The 16,941-nt window shown below is 40.7% G+C and overlaps 1 protein-coding gene across 9 annotated transcripts in view, besides 2 other annotated features; it reads right to left on the bottom strand.

Moving 5' to 3' along the window:
• FLI1 (Fli-1 proto-oncogene, ETS transcription factor) overlaps positions 1–16,941 on the bottom strand; it is a 128,136-nt gene that overhangs the window by 98,602 nt on the left and 12,593 nt on the right. The gene's annotated exons all lie outside the window — the stretch shown is intronic.
• Positions 9,859–9,948: a silencer, noted in NCBI's record as "silent region_4063". NCBI's record gives its function as "represses an Ori minimal core promoter by ATAC-STARR-seq in GM12878 lymphoblastoid cells {active_cell/tissue: GM12878}" and the evidence as "EXISTENCE:reporter gene assay evidence [ECO:0000049][PMID:35858748]".
• Positions 13,023–14,222: an enhancer, noted in NCBI's record as "CDK7 strongly-dependent group 2 enhancer chr11:128570339-128571538 (GRCh37/hg19 assembly coordinates)". NCBI's record gives its function as "activates an origin of replication core promoter dependent on BRD2, BRD4, P300/CBP, MED14 and CDK7 cofactors, with strong dependence on CDK7, by STARR-seq in HCT116 cells {active_cell/tissue: HCT116}" and the evidence as "EXISTENCE:reporter gene assay evidence [ECO:0000049][PMID:35650434]".

Raw genomic sequence — 16,941 nt, 5'->3', positions numbered from 1 at the left:
TCAGTAACCATCATCATCATCATCATTATTGTTATTGGCATTACTGATATCTCCTGCCAAAGTTGTTTAAAGTAATAATGAGGTAAAGGGAACAGCCATTCCAGAAAAGATCTTAAAAGCCAATCCCAGTTATCAACCTCTGTAGACTCTCTAGAATCTTAGACCAGAGGGTTTCCTCAGAAATTCTAACAAACACCAGATATAGACAGCATGCCTGTTTAGTAGGTGTTTCTTTTTTTGGTCTTGCAAAATGCTTTTACCACCATCTTTATTACAACATCACTTCGAGGTAAAATTATCATTGGAAGAATCTCCCTGTTCTGCAGTTGAGGAAACTGCAGCATGAGAAGGCCCACATCTTTGATGGAGATCAGGATAGCAGTTTATGTCGGCGCCAGCCAGCGCATCTTCCAGAGCTCTATTTGCCAAAGAGTTGCCGTTTTTTTTTTTTTTTTTTTTTCTGGCCAGTGAAGAGTTATATCAAGTTGAAACCCAGAGCTTTCATAGCTGAGATTTCTAAAGGTGGAATTCAGCCTCCTAGAATCTTCTTGACTTTGAAATTTCTGGATGCATTGCATAGTAAAGGCATATTAACCTATAGATATGTACTCTATGCACTCAGTAAAACATTAGTCTGATAATGCCTTCTAAGGTAATTGTCCTCTCACAGTATTCTTCATTACACTCTACTTGCCTTTACTGAAGAAGAGAGTGGCTAAGAAAATGGCTTATGGCCACACAGATAATGCCTGGGGGGACTATGGTTAGGATGACTAAGCTCAAGGTACTTAATTTAGCAATGCCCCGGGTGGCCATTTCATTCATTCACTCATCCAGTAAAGACTTATTGGAAGGCCTGTTCTCTTTCATACTGACTCCGAGGCTTATCTTTCAGGGTTCGGCCTAAATGTCACTTCCTTAAGGAAGCCTTTGACCTCTGAGACTAGGTTAGGTCCCCACGTTGTGCCCTCCCGAGGCACCCCATACTTCCCCTTTCATAGAACCCTTTGCACTTATAACAACAAGCTCAATAACTGTTTTTTTTTTTTGCCTTGACTATTACCTCTGTCCAAGGAGGAACTATACCTGTCTGCTTTACTGCTGTACTCCAGCACCTGGCACATAGAAGCAGCTCAATTAATACATGGATATGTGTCAGGCACTGAGGACTTGAGGACAAATGGCCAGAGTTTCTGCCCTCAAGGAGCAAGTAACTCACTCACTTTGTTCACAGAATTGTATTCTATACATACTCCTTACCTTCTTCCCAATGCAATTTGAAAAAACAACAACAAAAAACAATGGTGGAATGTTTTAAACTGAAGAAGGATTTTTCTGAAAATGCATGAGCTGCAGAACTGTCAAACTATTGATAAATTCTACATAGGAAGAGACTAATAAAGACTCTAATTGGACATTTATAATTTTATCCTTTCTGGAGGGCAGGTATGAGTGAGAAGCAGGACTACAGTGCTTCATCACCCCTAAGACCATTACATAGAGTTGGACCTCTAGGAACATGGCCTCATTTTCTGAGAGGAGTCTGCCCATCTTTGTTTTAAACAGTTCACCTCACAAATTTATGCCATTCAGTGATGGACACAGGATTGACCTTCGCAATGATGTGTACCTGAAGACTTCCAAAGAAAAAGCTGCTATAGGTCTGCTCATTAGCGAGACCTCAGTAATGAAGTCAGATCTCCCCATGAGAAAGCCTGGGGTATTTATTCCTCACAGTGATTCTAAAACCACAGGAGGTGTAGCAGGCAATATATTTCTATTATCCATGGGTGAGAAGTATGAAGGGTAGAGAGAAATTGCTTCATGTCTCAGGATATCAAGGATATAGATCTTTGGAAAGTGTATGATATGTTTTGGCTCTGTGTCCCCACCCAAAGCTCCCATAACTCCCACATGTTGCGGGAGGGACCTGGTGGGAGATGATTGAATTCTGGGGGTGGGTCTTTCCTGTGCTGTTCTCATGATAGTGAATGGGTTTCATGACATCTGATGGTTTTTAAACAAGCTCTCTTTTTGCCTGCTGCCATCCGTGTAAGGTGTGACTTTCTCCTCCTTGCCTTCCGCCATGATTGTGAAGCCTCCCTAGCCATGTGGAACTGTAAGTCCAATAAACCTCTTTCTTTCTTTTATAAATTGCCCCATCTCGGGTATATCTTTACCAGCAATGTGAAAACAGACTAATACAGTGTACCATAGAACAGCACTAGCTTAATCCATTTTCTGTAGCTATAACGGAATATCTGAGGCTAGGTAATTTATAAAGAAAAGAGGTTTATTTGGCTCATGGTGCTCATGGTTCTGCAGGCTGTACAGAAAGCATGGTGCCAGCATCTGCTTCTGATGAGGCCTCAGAAAGCATACAATTGTGGTGGAAAGTGAATGGGGAGCCAGCGTGTCACATAGCAAGAGCAGGAGCAAGAGAGAGAAGGAGGAGGTCCCAGACTCTTTTAACAACCAGATCTCAGGCGAGCTAACTGAGCCAGAACTCACTTCTCGCCCAGAGATGACACTAATTCCTTCACCAGGGATCTGCCCCCCATGATCTAATCACCTCCCACCAGGCCCCACCTCCAACACTGCGAATCATACTTCAACATGAGATTTGGAGAGGACAAACGACCAAACTGTGTTGAATACAAACCTAGGGAATACTCATTGGAGAGAAATTGGCTTTCAAGGACTACCAGTCTAACTAGTAAGTTTTAAAATAAAATTTTTTTAAAAAAAGACAAAGACTACCACTTTAGCTGGTTATTTGCTAAATTAAAGTGCTTTGTTCACATTTATACTTAAGAAGAAATATTACAAACGGTTATAGGGATCTGGGAACTAGAAAAGCAAACCATCTGTTAATAGTATGGAGCTCTACCTAATAGGAAATCATATTTTCATGGTGGCATAAAGCATTAGAGCTAAAAATGACCTTAAAAATAAGCAAGTACAATGCCAGTATTTTGCAAATGGAGAAACTGAAATCGCCATTATGTATAATAGGGATTCCTTTTGGCCAAGATTATTTTTCAATGAAAAGGTATAGGGCAAAGCCCATACCTTTCTTTGATAAGCCCAATAAACATTCGATCATGATTCGTGACTATCCTTTTGATAAATTCCAAATGCCCTCATTTGATAAAAGGGAAATAAAGTATTACATTCTTAAAGGTCAGCAGAGAATTGATGATGAAGCCAGGAGACGGGATAGAAAACTTAGCTCCAGCCCCAGGCCAACATGATAATGCTGAACATTCACTTTTCATTTTGCTTTGCTTTAATGTTAGTCATAAGAATAAATGGAAGTGTTAGTCTCCATGTGGACAACACATTGCTGACTCAGATCAAAATAATCCGTGTAAATATGCCCCTCTGACTGAATTCAGATTTCAAGATGATGTTTTTAACTTGAATGATGCAGTCTTGTACTGCCCACTATGGTAGCTTCTAACCATATTTAATTAATTAGATTAATCAACTAATTAAACTTAATTGACTTAATGAAAAAAGAACACAATTTTACATTTCCTTTCTCTAGCCATATTTCAAATACTCAATAGCCACTCAAATAGAGAGTACAGTGGCTACCATAGTGAACAGTGCAGAACAGGACATTTCCATGTTTGTAGAAAGTTCTGTTGGACAGCCCTGATAAGGAAAGTTTTCTTAATCTTTCACTTTCCTTGGACTTTAAGATAGAGTTAAAAAGGTTGAGAAAAACTGATAAAGTTTCCCAAATCTCTTCTCCTAAAAATTGTGCAAGAGCTATATCTGTTACAGAGTTTCCTACACATGAATATCTTCAAAAGAGAGATTTTGGAACCTTGTGTAGCCCAATAAAATACTATTGCTCCCATATCAAATGCAAAATCAGAAACTTAGTAGCTGAAGAGATTATATTTTTTTATGTAGTTAAGGTGGTAGGACAATGAGTATGTCCAAACCCTTTATACAATCCAACATCACAAAGATAGACAAATAAATTTTCTGCAAGGCTGCATTTGCTTTCATTGTGTCAGATGTTCTTCATAATTTGAAATATAAATTTGAGATGCTCTCTAATCTCTTTACCTTCACTCTGTGGTGTTAGTGTGGAAAAACACAGCATGCTCTTTCAATACAGCATCTCGGTCTTGGTGGTGATTTGTTGTCATGGAGAAAAAGCAGTAGGGCTGATCTTAGCTAGATTGTGGTCCCTAGGAACTACAGACTAGTGTTTGAGCAGTTCAATGTTCGGCCTCATGAACTTTGAAATCCCAATTCTGTTGGCCAAGGATAACACCCTAATACCTAGTTCAATGCGTTCAATAAAAAGATTGCAAAAGAAGTTCATCATTTTAATACTAAATGTCTGAATGAGCACTTAAATGGAAATGGTCAACTCCATTTTCCTTTCTTCATCTCTTCATTTTTGAGCTACTTCAGTGTGGGTAGAATATGGGCAAATGTTCTCCTTCCCTTCACTTCTGGTCACATAATCATACTTGGTTGTGCAGTGTACCGTGAAAGACAGCAATATGACCTTTCCTAAAATATTGATGATGCATGATGAGAATAAAGACCAACCCAGCTTTCCTGGCCTCGTTAAGTGAAAGAAGGGCCTCCATCACTTGTGACTTCAACACTAAAAGAGGATCATCTTCAAGGCAAATTACTTCTTTTGTTCTGTTGTCCCTTCACTCACACCAAAGTCAGTTAAACCTATTAGTAGCATTTACACTTAATACAGACTGTCACAACCCAATTAAATTCACATCCCTTAATCAGGGAGCTCAGTTCTACTGGTATCTCCCTCTGAATTAACCTACTTCTAGCCTGGTTCTGTACTGTATTACCACAAGGACATGGGGAAGATAATAGAAGAGGTGGCGTAGATGTATGGGTGGAGGCAGCCATAGGTATTTGGTCAGCCAGACGGATGTTTTAAAACTATTCACAAGGGAGTGCTGTAGCATAGGTTGGACAAGAGAATTTGTTTCTCTGGTGTTTTCTGTTTGACACAACTCTCTTTATCAGCAGCACAAGCCTGGAATTCCTGAAGCCACACTCATATCCTGCCATCGGTTTTTACGTAAACCCCCCATTGATTGGGATGGGAGTTTCACAAGTAGAACAATGGCCGGATACGTGGGAGGGAAAGGAGGAATATGGGATGTTTGATCTGTACTTGTGCATTTGTAGGGGATGGTGTCTACATGGGCAAAGAGATATGAATAAGTCACTAACTGGTGAATTTAACCACATGCAAGCAAGTCTTTGAAATCACTAAGGCCAGAAAAAAGCAACCCAACAGATTTAAGTTACATTTATTATCTGTTATATTCATGCATCGACTTGAATGAGAATAATAACTAAGATAATAACAACTAGCAGTTGCACAGCACTTTACAATTACAAAGTGCTTTTACTTCCATACTACTTTTGATTCTTATTATTAGTAAGGTTGGTAGAAAAATTAACGTTATGCATTATTACTACCAGTACTACTATTATTTTACAGGTAGGAAAGGAGATTGGAGAAGTTATTATCTGACCGAAGACCACACAATTAATAAGTGGGTCTGAACCTAGATTTCCAAACTTCAGACTGCATGTGGCTTTCACAAAATCATTCTGCCACTGTCACAGTAATCTGGCAAAATACTCCAGAGGTTTACTGCCAGCCTTCCTAAGGTTTTGTCTCACCTTTTTTAGGCAAGAAGCACCTTACAGCACACAGCATTGACACATTATATTTACATTGTGTGGGCATGAAGTCACATTTGGTAACTTTGGCTAACTGAATATTGGCTGACTGAACTTTGCCTGACAAATAAAAAGACGGGGCGGGTGCTCTTTCTTTAGTAAAAAGTCCAAATAAGGCTCGGAATCTGAAATGCCGCATGATTTACAGCAATCTTGTTACATTGGCAACAAGAAAGCCATCCAATGAGCCACCCAGTAGTTAGTCAAAGTGTAGTAATTAATTCACGCTTTTCTTGAAGAAACTCAAAGCAACTCACTACTCCAGTTTTTTACCAAATCCATGGAAGAAGAGGATCATCAAGAAGCCTTAATCCTTTTGGGTAAATGGACCCACTGAGAAGGGGAGAGTAACTTGTCCAATGTCACGAAGCCAGCCTAAGGCAAAACCAGGTACAGAACTCAGACTACCCAAGCCGGTGCCCACATTAGCACTTTAGAGGGACCGATATATAAAACTCTCTCAGGGGAGCTAGGCACAGGTGCACCTAGACAGCTTCACCAGCAAAGTTTTTAAAGGAGGTGGAGAACGAGGCTTGCTCTAATAGCAGACAACCAACTCCTTCCAATCAGAAGGGAGTTAAAAGTAGTGTTAGCATATGGAAAATGCCAATCCACCTGTTCCATCTTGGATGAGACTGACCACTCAACTGACTGCTTGTCGATGGTAACTGACCACAGTAAGAAGGATTCTTGTGTCTCATGTAACGCTCCTCTCCCTTTTTGGTAGCTCTGAGCTGAAAGCTTCCTCCCCCATGCACGGCAATGGGGAAACCAAGGCACCCACCTTCAGGGATACCCCTGTTTTCCCAGGAGTTTCCCTTCACTGAGGCTGTGTCTCTCCTTCCCTTGTAAGTGTGCTTGTACTGTGCACACTAACAAAACATTCTTTCCTGTTTCCAATTATTTTCAACAGTTAAGCATGCAAATGTCTGAACAACATTTATTAAGCTTCTATGGACATTTAGGAGAGAAAAAAAGATGAACCAACAAGAATCTGAATCATCAAAGAGCTCTTACAAAACCAGTGTTTTGAGCCTTTAATTGGAAGTGAATCAGAAACAGGCATGTGAAATTTCCCATGAAATACACACAGGGTTTTAAATTTTTTAAAAGGGTGCTCTGGGCAGAGAAGAGTCTGGGTCATACCCTGTCCAAACTGATAGGAAGAAATAAATAATTCTGATGAGCTCTAAACCCAGTCCTACTGCCCTGTCATGGCTTGTCTACAAAACTCAGGGGGCAAACTCCAAGAAGGCAGGGAGGGGGAGCCATGGTAATTCCTTTACCACACTTCAGACTCAGTATGTTTATAGAGACCCACAGTCTCCAAAAGGAATGGCTTAGAAGCCCAGAGCAGCACAGCCACAGGGCTGGATGCCTTCCCCAAGGCACCCTGGGAAGTCTCCACATGCTGGTTTCCTGAAATGACGTTTCTAGAAAAGTCACCTGCTCTTTCTCCCTCTCCTTTCTAGAAAAGTGCAAAAAGTACAGGTGCCCTTCAAGTCCCTCACCTCTAGGGAAGTCCTATGTTGCACCAAAGACCGTATTTGAGAAAGAGGACTTGTGCCCTTCGACCAATGTGTTCTTATTATGGAGAAGTCGAAGGGCAGGTTAGCATGGTTCTCTACAGGCAGTGTTATCAGGGCGGGGGAAGTTGCTTAAGATAATGTATGAATCTTTTCTTCAGGATTCCTGACTGTTCATGAACTTGGGTACAGGGCTATTGACAGAGTATCGTGCTGGGAAAAGAAAGATCCTAAGCTCATAGTGTGGGGCAGTCATTTTAACCCCTTGCCTTTGCTATCGCCCAAGCAGGTTATACAAAGCAGAGCACACCAACCGTGCCCATAACCCCCTCACAGTCTCCTCATGCCACATAGTTTCTGAGTTATTTTCTTCTTTGTGAATATTCTTTAAATCCATTTTCAACTAGACATGATAACAATGAGAACTGGGTTAGGAAAAATCATTATGAATTAACCATGTTGAATTAGCCCTAAGAAATGCCTCTTGCCAGAAGAGCTACATTTGTTTTGTTGTTTACCCTCTTCCAAATCAGCAATCCTTTTAAAGAGAAAAATCTACTTTAGTAAAATTTGGGTGGCTACATGATTACTCACTTACCCATGTGGTTCCTATGGAAAGTGCCCTCTTCAATCACCCAGAAATATTATGACAATGGTCAGAAAATAGGACCAATGAACAAAGAAGCAGGAGTCCCTGTGGGTTAAATGAGCCTTGATATCTTTGCTCCAGAAAACACCCTCATTGTAGAGCGTGGTGTTTGGGGGCATGAATACTTGAGTTCTGCTTCCAGGGGCTCTTGCCTGGTTCCCATCTTTTGACACACTACATCTTGAAGCCTCAGTTGTCTCTCCGTCAATGGCCTCTTTCTTTTTGAGACTACTGGGGAGGGGGCTATCCTAAGTTGGCAATGTGTGATAGGTACTTTGGGAGATATGACAGAGAAACAAGCAACTTTCTTAACAGTGCTCCCTTGTTACCCTGGGTCATGCCTAAAGGTCTTTCAGTAGTAATGTGTAGAGTGAATAGTGAGGCCACGTTGTATGGAGTGATGTGGGAGACACTCCAGGCAAAAGAGAAAAGCAGCGATCTCAACTCAATTTCTGGAATTTCTTCTTCAACTGACTTTGATGATCCTTTGGATACACCTTGAAGCTTCTTCTCCTATACGCATGTTTCTAGAGTCAGAACTGCAAAAACAGATAGGTTGAAATCTCTAGACAAGAGGGTTTCCTTGCACACCTGTTGTGTTGAGCTCAGGTAACAAAAGGTTAAACCCTATGTAGAGAGGTGTTCCACGTCCCTCTTGAAGGTGTATGCGTGTATGAGGTGGGGGTGCTTGTGCACTGAAAATGGCTTAATTTTCCTACTTTGAATAAAATCAAACTACAACTAGGATGAATTCAAGTAGCTCATCGACCCCTGGTAATTGCACATAGGGTTCATCGGGACATTACACAGAATGCTGTGGGGAAAAAAAAAGCAAAGGCAGGCGCTTGGCCCTACGCATTGAGAATGAAAAATTTAAAATAATAGGTTCTTCAGGGCTAAATTGTGTTTGCTCCCAAGGATCCTTGGAGCTATGGTTTTCTTTGTTCTGCCAAAGGAAAAAGGAAATATATCAGGAAGCTGGGCCAGTCCACAGGAAGTCTCACTTGGTCTGATAAAAGGAACTGGTGTGAGGCAGCTTTGGATGCAGTTATAAGTCAATCAGCCTTGAAATAACAAGAAAGGCTATTCAAGAGAAACTGGAGCCTGAAGTCAGCCCTACTCAATGATTTCCTTTTAACCTCGCAAAACATTCCCTTCTTTGTGTTTTATATAACCTCCTGAATCTGTTATGTTTTTTAAAAAAAATTGTGTATAGTTTTGTGTGTATATGAGTGGAATAGAATGAAGAAGAGAGCAAGATTTCGAGGAGGAAAGGAAGAAAGAACGAAGGTACAAGGGTAGAGGAGGAAGCCTTGGCAGGTCAAAGAATATGCCGTTCTCTATTGAGCTATAAAACATTTAAAAATCAACTCATTGGATCATTATGTAAAAAGAGAACCTGTCAGTTTCACACCAGTGCACCTGCTAACAAAGCCAGGCAGGCTTTCTTACCTGGGAAATAGGCCTTCTTGAATAAAGAGTTGTGAAGAATTGAGCAGTTTCATGAATCTGACCGGTGCAGACTGTGGATAGTGGTCACTTAGACAAAGAGATAAAACAAATAGTAACAAAACCTACATGGTCCCCATAGATGGGCTCGTAGCCTAAACTATATGGAGATGTATGTATCAATCTGGTGATGTATCACAGTGGCTAAGCTTTATGGAATTTGGAAGTAAGCAGGATTAGGTTCCAATAATTGCTTTTCTATTTTCTACCTGTATGACCATGAGTAACTTACCCAATCTCTTCAAAATGGAAATATTACATACATCACAGGGTTGTTACAGGGATCAAGTGCATGTCTTAAAGGTTTGAATAGATATTGTCACCTTGAGCTGGATAGATAACTTATTCTCTTTATAACTATGATTGTTCTTCCTCATTTTTATTCCCCCTCTGATGAAAGATGAGCATCTCTTTCTCTTAGGTGAGTACTAGGGAAAGAAAGGCCTTAGCTTGGGGTCATGAGGACCCATGCAAAATGGTGGGTGATACAGTTTCAAACTGAATTGGGGCCTTCTGGGGTTGACTGTGTTTGCCCATAGAACACCACTTCCTGTTTTAACAAGAAGAAACAAAGCCTTCCAGAAAACCCATTAAGAGACTCAAAATTCTCCTTGGACATCAAATTATTGTTTTTAGAAGAGTTAAGTGTAAATGAATCAAAACCAGACAAATTCAATTTCCTTTCAATTAAACAGGATTTTTTTAAAGGCCACGGGAAAGACGCTTGGAGCCAAAGAGTGTTTTGGGTTTTAAATGAGACCAAATTTCGGAAAAGAATCTAAGACCCCAGAGTGGCGTCAGGCCCTATTCTTAGTTTGCATTAACGGAAAGGGATTAGCACAGTTCTAGTGTCACTTGGCAATAAAAACAACCAGCTCGGAGAAACTCACCAAGCACCTGCTGAGAGCCCCTGCCTTCACCTGGCCTTGAGGGTCACTCCACAGTACAAAATGTAGCCCTGAGATTATGGGAGAAGAGCCACACAGGATCAGATAGAACATCTACGTGAGGTTCTATCATCCACACCCCCAAATAAGAAATGTTTTAAAGCCTGTCTAGGATCAGAGTCAAATGAACATGAGAGCTGAAAGCAAATTTTGAAATCATACCTTCATTTTATATATGAGAAGACCTTTAACATGAATGATGAGGAAGTGAAGTGACTTGCCTAACATCCCATAGCTAGTTTGGGATAGAGCTGGGGCTGGAACTCAGGTCTCCGGATCCTAGGCCAGCCAATTTCTCCCTGCATTTACCTCAATTTCGAATCTTAAAGTCACCGGGACCAGCACATTCAGGATAAAATCTTGGTGCCCATTCACCTTTTTACAAGTCTGTTTCTGTGTCTCTCTTAACGTTTGTTTTTTTTTTTTTTTTTTTTTGAGACGGAGTCTCGCTCTGTCACCCAGGCTGGAGTGTAGTGTTGCAACCTCGGCTCACCACAACTTCTGCCTCCTGGGTTCAAGCGATTCTCCTGCCTCAGCCTCCCCAGTAGCTGGGACTACAGGCATGCACCACCACACCCAGCTAATTTTTGTATTTTTAGTAGAGGTAGAGTTTCACCATGTTGGCCAGGATGGTCTCAATCTCTTGACCTCATTATCTGCTAGCCTCGGCCTCCCAAAGTGCTAGGATTACAGGAGTGAGCCACCGTGCCCGGCCCAATATTTTGGAACTTTTTGCTTTTTTCCATGTAATAATATACATTGGAGAATTTTCTAAATCAGTGTATACGACAATTGATTTTATCCCATTTTGTAGTTGCATGGCATTTTCTTACATGAATCTTTCCTCCTTTGTTTATCTAGTCCCCTACTGGTGGACATTTAGATTATTTCCAACTTTTGCTGTAACAAACAATGCTACAATAAACACATTGTACATATATCTGAGTGAACATAGCTGTAGAATTGGCATTATCAAATTTGTGTAAATAGTTAACTTCTCAAATAGATGTTGCTCTGTGGAAAGATTATACCAAGTCATACTCCTACCAAGAGGATAAGACAGTGACATTTCCTTTACTCTTTCCAACATGAGACATTAAGCTGTTTTAGTCTCTGCTGTCCTCCTAGGTCATAAACATTGGAATTTTATTATTTTTATTTGAATGTCTTTATGCATGTGCTTGAAATTCTTTTCATTTATTTATTGCCCATTTGTATTTTCTTTCTAGTGTTGTCTATTCATAGCATTTTTGCCTATTTTCTGTTAAGTGGTGTGTCTTTTCTTATTGATTTGTAAGTAGTCTTTGTATGATAGGACATTTATGCTTTATGTATGATAAATATTCTTTCTCCGTTTCTCATTTAGTTTTCACCTTACCTATGGTATTTTTCTCCATGTTTTTTTTTTTTTTCTTTGAGACAGAATCTCGCCCTGTTGCCCAGGCTGGAGTGCAGAGGCACGATCTTGGCTCACTGCAACCTCCACCTCCTATGTTCAAGCAATTCTTCTGCCTCAGCCTCCCAAGTAGCTGGGACTACAAGCATGCGCCAGCATGACCAGCTAATTTTTGTACTTTTAGTAAAGACAGGGTTTCACCATATTGGCCAGGCTGGTCTTGAACTCCTGACCTCAGGTGATCCACCCGCCTTGGCCTCCCAAAATGCTGGGATTACAGGTGTGAGCCACCGTGCCTGGCCCCATGTTAATATATAAATAGAGGAACTAAAGCTGAGAAAGGGAGAATCAGAAGAAGAAATATCCTTGGCTGAAGACCTAGCCTTCCAAAAATATCCTTACAGTAAATTATATCACCAAGGGTGAAGGGGCAATGGAGAATATAAACTGGTTGTTACCTTTAAGAAAATGTGTCTAACCATCCTTATGATTATAAGCCACAAATAAAGATTTCTCCAATGAGTATTGCTTCTTTTGGAATTTCCAATACTCAGAGCTAAAAATCAGAAAGAAGAGAAATGTCTACTCTCTCAAAGCCTGGAAGAAATAGCATAGAAACCTTATTCTTGTTCATTTACATGAATGCTCTATTGAGATTGGTGCCTGGTAATATTATTCAACATTTGGGTGAATGAATACATGAATGAGTATTGAATACATGAATGAGTATGAATTCAGTCATAAATGTCTAAAGACAAAATGACTCTGTAGACATGAGAATTTCAATTGAAACATACGCTTTTCCATAGACTGTAACAGCAGTAACTTAAAACAACTCATGAGCAGAGTAATTTTCTAATATTAACCTGTTTGTTTTCACACTTTTGCTACATGAATGGTACTGCAGAATTGCTCACTCTCCGATTCCTTTCCCATAACATCAATGAATACCCATATATTCAGACCTAACAATTCTGCTACTGGAGTGTTAGATTCCAGTAGACATGTGAAACCCACACAATGTCTAGAAATTCGAGGTTAAAGCTCCCATGGCACCTGTAATTCCAGCCTCTTGCATGTGTGCACTGAGATGTGACATAAGATCTTTCATTGCCTTGGACACATAGCACTGGCTGGGTAAATGGGGCTTGCTCTTGGGAAAGCATTTCAGTGTTCAAGTCTGCCTTCCCTTTGAGGTGATTTGAAAAATTCTCATACTCTGAGATTTTGATCTTAAACTAAATGGCAGACACATTGTTTCCCAAAGATGGCAAATCTCTTAAATACATTAGTGTTTGCTTCATTTTTGTAGGGATGAGCAATTTTGAAGGTACTGTAAAGTTGATCTGAATTATCTGAAAATGCGTCTGAACACTCCATCTCTGATCCTACTTGGAATGACGGTGATGAGTCTCTGCGTTTTTGGTTTGCTGGGGTGAAGTGTCAGTATTCCTAACTGAGACCAGCGGCCCAGCCAACTCATGGAAGAATGTCAGACTTGTCTGAAGGCCCACAGAAATTTGATTTGAGTTTTAGAGAGACTTTTTTTTTTCTTTTTTCTCCTCTCAAGCACTATCTGCTGACTCATTCTCAAAAGGAACTAAAATTGTAGCCCAGGATAGAAGGCCCAATTGAAAAGATTGCTCATGGTGAAATCCCCTGGGAAGGAAGGGATGAGAAGGATAATCACAGTTTTATGTCATCTGGTGAAATAGAGTTTCTCCTCCCTCCCCTAATGCCATATTTAATCAACAGGTGTCTTTGAAGACAGAAGACAGCACTGCTGGTTGCCTGAATCTATCTCTGGTTGTCTAATCCTGACTGCTGCTCATTTCTTGTGTGGCCTCTGATAAGTGATGGAGCCACTTCCATCTTCATTTCCTAAGGAGAAGAGAGTACGAAGGATTTGTTTCTAAGAGACTTGTACAGCTATGTAGATCATCCCTCTAGTCACAAGTTTTCATTCCTCCTTTCTATACATGTTACAAGACCCAAGTTATTATTATTTTGAGGCAGGTATTCACTTTGTCATCTAGGGTGGAATACAGTGGCGCTCATGGCTGATTGTAGCCTTGACCTCCCTTGGCTCAGGTGATCCTCCCACCTCAGCTCCCTGAGCAGCTGGGACTACAGGTGAGTGCCACCATGCCCGGCTAATTTTTGTAGTTTTTGTAGAGACTAGGTTTCTCCATGTTGCCCAGTCTGGTCTTGAATTCCTGGGCTCAAGTGATCCACCCATTTCCGTCTCCCAAAGAACTGGGATTACAGGCATGAGCCACCATACTCACCCCCAAATTCTTTGTTATAGTATGTAAGGTCCTCTGTAGTCTAGTTCAATTCAGTCTTTCCACTCCCATCCTCTCCATCACCTGTACACTTTCCTCCCCAAAGTACCCTCCACTCTCCTAGAAAGCCCTTTACCATAGTTTCCTATGCAAGACCTACCTATCTTTCAAGGCCAGGCTTAGATCCACCTGTGCCAAGAGGCAGTGTGGCCAGTGTGTGTAGTAAAAGCAGGAATCAGGAATGAGAAACACTGGGCTTGAAACCCAGATCTGTCCCCTGTTAGTTATACTCTTGGGCAAGTTACCTCACTCCTCTGAACTTTAACTTCTTCCATATGAAGTAGAGACATCATGGTATTATCTCCCATAGGGCTACTGTGAGAATGGGATGCAAGAGTGTGTGGGCCAGTGATCTGTGGAGGGACTGTATGATCTGTGAAGAGATTTATGAAAGGGACTACATAAACAACTATTATCATGAGGTCTTTGTCTGTCTCTCCAGTTCAAATCATCCTTTCTTTTCTCAGGGCTATGGTAACACTTGCTGTGCTCTGCAGGGCACACATATGTGGCTTATCTTCTCGCTAGATCTCCTGGCAGAGCCCTTTTGCCATTGGGGTTCTATCTTCACAGAACATAGTTTAGTCCCTGCCTAACAGACATGCAATCACCTTCATATGGTTGGTCAGTTTATGATGCCCCTGAGACTGAGGTACCACCAATTCCCATAAGGCCAGCTAGCTTTGCACAGGAAAGGTTTATTCCATAGATTACCTAAATTTTGTCAGATTTGCACTATATTGGCCCTGCAGATAGTGTGGGGACATATAACCCTATCCATAGCCTCTGGGGAAACATCTCAGTGCACAGGCAACTGATGGTGGGTCTATCAGGTCAGTGGCAGAACTGTAATACACAAAGAGTGACATCACTTAATGATATCATCCCATGGATCAATTAATACATAATGGGAAGAACGCTATAGATATGAAATCATTAAAGCAACAGAAATTGAAACAGGGTGTAGTCTTCTGCAGAGGAAAAGACACCTGTATAACTCTGAGATTACGAAAAAAGCTATTGTGGCTGGTTGAAGGTTTTATGAGATTGTGTGTGTAGGTGTGTGTTTGTGTGTACGTAACAGACAATGTCCCTTAGCCTACTTAATTCGTTACAAAACAACAAGCAAAATATAGACTTAAAAGGAATGTTTTAAGTACAGAACAAAAAAACTATCAATATAAAAATTTTCCCAACTCTTTTCTTTCTTTCTATTTTTTTGGCTGGGGGTAACTTAGTACTGGCATTAGACTAATGCTATATACCTAGAAAGAGGCTTGGTTTAAATCAACTGTTTTTTAAACAAATGCCAAGTTAACTGTTTAACCCCAAACAGAAAGAGACATGAAAATCCCAAATCTTTTTTAATGCAATTGTTATTCAAGACCTACTTATGACACAGTCTGATGGATCCATAAGATGCCTTCTAATAGATTTTATTTAAATAGTCCAATATTCCATTATTAAAGGAGCTGAAATAAGAATTCCGTCTGTCTACCTGCCCATGATCTGTAGAAGGGCCTGGGTATTTCAGTAAACTACTATATTTTTGGTTGTCTCCTTGTAATGGAGACTGTTTACTTTGTCTGCTGGAAAAGAAGGACTTATTTTGGAAAACAGTTGTATAAAAATTCTATCCAAAAATTTGGAATTTCTTCTTTTCTTTAAGGATAAAAATAATTCAAGATGGTAGTGATACAATTTTATTTATTTTTCATTAAATACCAGAGGTGTCTTTAGTGTAAAGTGCCAAATTCTTTATGATTTTTCTTTTAAAGACTTCTCTCTCTCTCTCTCTCTCTCACACACACACACACACACACACGCAAACACATACACACACTGCCTCCACGATTCTATAATTCATAAAAATGTAACAAAAGCAAATGATATTTTCATGGTATAGTGGAAAGAACACTGGCCTAAGGGTGCAGAGCCCTGAACTTTCACTATGACTCTGTTGGTAGTTAGCTGTATGATCTTGGACAATTCATTTAACAACCTAGACCTCAGTTTCCCCACCCATAAAGTGAGAAATTCAAGCTAAACACTCTCTAAAGCTTTAAAGTTGCCAACCTATAAACTTAAATTTGGATGGCAGTGGAACTGGAAGGAAGCCTTTTGGTGGAAATTATTCACACACAAAACAGGATTCCACTTGGTAACCACCTGAGGGGAGCAATTCTGTGTGGTCACGGGGACAGATCAATAGACAGAGGCCATCTTGTCTGGAGTTCTTGTGAATCCAGGTGACATGGAGATTACAAGGTGTGTGTGGTAGAGGGAGGCAGCAACACCTTCTTGAGGACAGAAGTCAAGCCTCTGTTCCCAAGTATTCCTCACTCTGCTGCTTCTTCCAAACCTTGTCCAGATGTTTCCCTGCCCTGCCAGTGACAACCTGCCCTCCAGAGCCTTGCAGAGCCAGCCATAACCCTGGCCCTTCTTTCGGGCTGTGCTTGTCCATTGTTGACTGGCTGTGTGGTTGGTGCTGTACTCTTCTGGAGTTAATGACGAGAGAGTGCCTCTGCCCGACTGTGACTTTGTTAGACACGCTTCTCCTCACCATCCTGGCTATATAGCGTCATTACTTTCCATTCCCTAACCTGCGTTATTGTTCTTCAGAAGATATATCACCACTCAACTGAGATTGTTCTCTGTATGTGTCAGCTCCCTCCACTAGCGTCTACATTCCTGGAGGGTTTTGACCCCTGTTTTATCCTCAATACACAGTGCAGAGCCTTGCAACATAATAGATGCATCATAAACATTTGTTGAATTAATGAAATATGCATGATGGTAAATTTGGACCTGT

The sequence above is a fragment of the Homo sapiens genome, chromosome 11, assembly GCF_000001405.40.
Source record: "Homo sapiens chromosome 11, GRCh38.p14 Primary Assembly".
Lineage (NCBI taxonomy): Eukaryota > Metazoa > Chordata > Mammalia > Primates > Hominidae > Homo > Homo sapiens.
Note: the sequence above shows the minus strand (reverse complement) of the source record. Positions and strands in the feature narration are given on the sequence as shown.